This window comes from Homo sapiens, chromosome 12, assembly GCF_000001405.40.
Source record: "Homo sapiens chromosome 12, GRCh38.p14 Primary Assembly".
NCBI classification, from domain to species: Eukaryota; Metazoa; Chordata; class Mammalia; order Primates; family Hominidae; genus Homo; species Homo sapiens.
This window is the reverse complement of record NC_000012.12, coordinates 84,360,418-84,364,076: the sequence shown is the minus strand read 5'-3', so window position 1 is coordinate 84,364,076 and position 3,659 is coordinate 84,360,418. Positions and strand designations below refer to the sequence as shown.

General features: G+C 51.5%; 1 long non-coding RNA gene across 1 annotated transcript; it reads left to right on the top strand.

Annotated features, from left to right (window-relative positions):
• Nucleotides 1–2,100: 2,100 nt before the first annotated feature.
• LOC124903066 (uncharacterized) lies at nucleotides 2,101–3,419 on the top strand. The gene is made up of 2 exons (XR_007063554.1): nucleotides 2,101–2,216; nucleotides 3,288–3,419. It is a non-coding gene; the product is annotated as an uncharacterized LOC124903066 (long non-coding RNA).
• The last annotated feature ends 240 nt before the right edge of the window (nucleotides 3,420–3,659 follow it).

Here is a 3,659-nt window from a genome sequence, read left to right as displayed (position 1 = left end):
GACAGATAGGTAGATAGATGATAAAGAGAGAGAGACAGATAGAGAAAGAGGAGATTCATTATGGTACTTGGCTCACACAATTATGGAGTCTAAGTTCTAGAATTTGTCCTCTGCAAGCTGGAGAACCAGGAAAGCCTGCATTGTAACTCCCTCTCTGAGGTCTGAGAATGAGAGGATGGAGGCACTAGTGTAAGTTTCGAATCTGAAAGCTAGAGAACAATTAGCTATAATGTAATATTGTTACAGGATTTCTGGGGTGTCGTTTTCTGACTGGAAACCTGTGGCCAGTGGTGCCTTTGCTTGAGTTTTGCCAAGGCCCACTGTATTCATTCTGCCCACTTGGCCTGGAAGACTGTGCTCAGCTGGAGCACTACCAACCTGGAACCCACGCCTCCAAGAGAGACTACGAGTCAGGCATGGAGTGGTGAGGGGTGTATGAGTGAACATGGGGTCTGGTTATTGTGCTGTCAAACATACCAGCTGCTGCCACAGGGCAGGCAGCTCCAGGTGCCAACATGGGTGCCTGCTCTCTGCGAGGCTACAGCTGGACCAGGTACACTGCAAGCAGCTTCCCCTACTAGCACCAGGGAATGTGTTGGTGCCCAGAAGCTTAGAGATGCCAGGAACACAGGGTCCCAAAGAGAGAGTTACAGCCTTGGCTTGGGGAGCTCCCAGATCTCCGCTCCCTGAAGGGCTGTAGCTTTTATCTCCTTCTCTTTGCCCACAATGTGGTGAGCAAGGGACATGTTTCAGGCCTGTTTGTGTTACAGCTCTTTTAGCCTCGCCCTTTGGCAGGTCCCCAGTTCTTGTCCTGAGACCAGGGAGAATGAGGTATGCAGACAAGTGGAGGGTAAGCAAGATGAAGAGGAGCTTTATTGAGTTGATAGAACAGCTCAGTCTCCCACAGGGGTAGCCCCTTTCCACAGCCAAGGTGTCCCGATCAAGTATTCAGCTCCTAGCAGAGAGAGTAGGTCTTCTCTACAGGTAGGTTGTCCCAAGTGTTCACTCCCACCAGAGAGGCTAGCTCTTCTCTGTAGCTGGACATCTGTTGTCTTCAGCCATTGGCAGAGAGGGTAGCTCCTTTCTGCAGCTGGTCACCCCATCATCTTCAGCTATCAGCGGAGAGGGCAGCTCTTCTCTGCAGCTGGTCATCCCGTCATCGCTCCTTCCTCTGCTCTGTCCTAGCCGGACCTTTTATAGGCTTCACACGGGAGACAGTAGCTGTTGATGGGTCCATGGGTGGCCATGGGCAGGCCGGGAAAAGGCACCACAAGTCCCCACTCCAGTTGGCGGGACTGGCAGCCCAGCCCCCAGCCTTCAATCCCTCCCTGGCCTGAAGGTGGGTCCTCACCCGGGACCGGCCCCTTCTGCCCAGGAACCCTTCTGCCTCCTGCCAGCATCCATGGGGCCCAAGCTGCTTGAGCCAAGGGACACCTGCAGGCCAGCACCGAGATTCCCTCAGCCACCCCCTTGGATTCACCCCATGGTAGTTAGCACCCAGTCCAGAGCAGGCTGAGGAGGCAAGTCACTGGCGTGTCAGCATTGCCCCGAGCATGCGCACATCCAGCGGGCTGTGACATAGCCCAGACTTGGCCCCAATCCTGTTCCAAGATTGGAGCTGATGCCAGGAGCAGGAAGAGACCAGGCAGTGGAAGCAGACACCTCTGGGCCTGCAAGGTCGGGGTTGGGGCGGGGGGGCCTTCCCAGGCACCCAAGGGTGCTGAGAGGCTCAGGTTCACAGTACTGACTTGGGTGGCTACAGCTGTGCCCAGGGCAGGGCGGGTGGCAGGACTCCTGCCTGCTCTGGCCTCCAAGAGCACAGGGAGGCCCAGGTCCACAGCCTTCACTTGGGCAGCTACAGCCGCACCTGGTGCTGCTGTCTGCTCCTGTCTCCCGCTGGCTCCTTGGAACATGCAGCCCTGGCCACGTCCCCTTGCAGCCTGGGGCAAGGGCTCCAGGTCCTCGCTGTGCCTGAATTGGCATCCAGGGCAGGGGCAACATTGCTGGGAGCTCCCCTTGGCGCTGGTACTCAGGGGCGGCCCTGGCCTACCCCTGGCCTGGCTCGCGGGCCCTCCTGGGAGCACCCGGAAGCAGATTGCAAACCGCTGGCCCTGAGCCTGGCCATCTGGAGTGTCAGGTTCAGCGGTCACCCCAATGCAGGGCGGCACCACGCAAAGCCTCCTTCTAAGGTGCAGGAACCCAGCGCCCTCAGCAGGGTGAGTGAAGTGGCTACACCACTGACCAGGTCCCCAAAGCGGGCACCGCTCCCACATCCCGCCCTGGGCCCCCAAAGTGCCGCCCCAGTACCTTGCCCCAGGCCAAGGCTTTCTGCCTGATGGCACTGCTCCCCCACTGGCAGATGACCTTGTCTAGCCCGTCACGGTGGTCCCCTGGGCAGCAGGCTGTGGGGGTGCTGTCTGCCTGCTCCCCAGGCCCTCCCCGCAGTGGTGGCTTGATGGCAGTTACACTCTAGTCGGCCCACCGCTGCCATCAATATCTGAGGCCGAGAGAAGATGGATGACCCAGATCAAGGAAAGAGAGTGAAATCACCCACCCTTCTGCTTTTTGCTTATATCAGGGCACTCAAAAAATAGATGATGCTGGCTCACATTGATGACGGCAGATCTTTGCTCAGTCTACTGATTCAAATGCTAATCTCTTCTAGAAACAGCCACAGAAACATCCAGAAATAATTTTTTACCACTTATCTGGGCATCCCTTAACTTGGTCAAGTTGACACATAAAATTGACCATCACAAGGAGTGTCCTGCTCATTGTAGAATGTTTAACAGCATCTCTGCCCTGTACTCATAGATGCTAATACCACCACCCACCACAATCTTGACAGCCAAAATTGTCTCCAGACATTACTGATATTTCCCATGGGGGACAGTATTGCCCTAGTTGACAACTTTTTAATACACAATAATGGATACATGTTAAGATTATATGTAAGATTATAAGATTATATGTACCCATTATTCTAGTTTTTTTTTTTTTTTCCATTTGGGGCTATTACAAGTAAAGCTGCTTTGAACATCTGTTCACAAGTCTCCCTGTGAATATAGTTCTTTATTTATCTTAAATAATGCCTAGTGAATTTACAGAATACTTTGTGTGGAACATCATCTTTCCATACTGGTAGTGCTGAATGGTCCTCATTCTGATGTAGTCTATATGCTTCATTGCTAAATTATCTCTTATGTTCAACCTTAGAACCTCTCTGAATTTATATCTCTTGCAATTGCTTATAAGTTTCTCTTATGAATGGGATCTTTTTGTTACAGCTCGTCCATACTTGATGGAGGGAAGTTCACTGTGTTTTCTCAGATCTCTTCATGTCACACTCAGGCAAAAAGAATATTCCTGTTCCTCCTTTGCAATGTTGAGACATAATAAACTTTACTTGGCTCACTAGGCCCTTTCTATCTACATGTGTTTTTTGTGTGTATTACAGATATTTTTATTTTCATGCTTTTTTTAACATAATTTCAACTTTATTTTAGATTCAGGAGATATAAGTACAGGTTTGTTGCATAGGTATATTGCATCATGCTGGGGTTTGGAATATAAATGATCCTGTCAGTCACCCAAGCAGTCATCATTGTACACAATGGTTAGTTTTTCAACTCTTACCTGCCTCCCTCTCTCCCCCATCT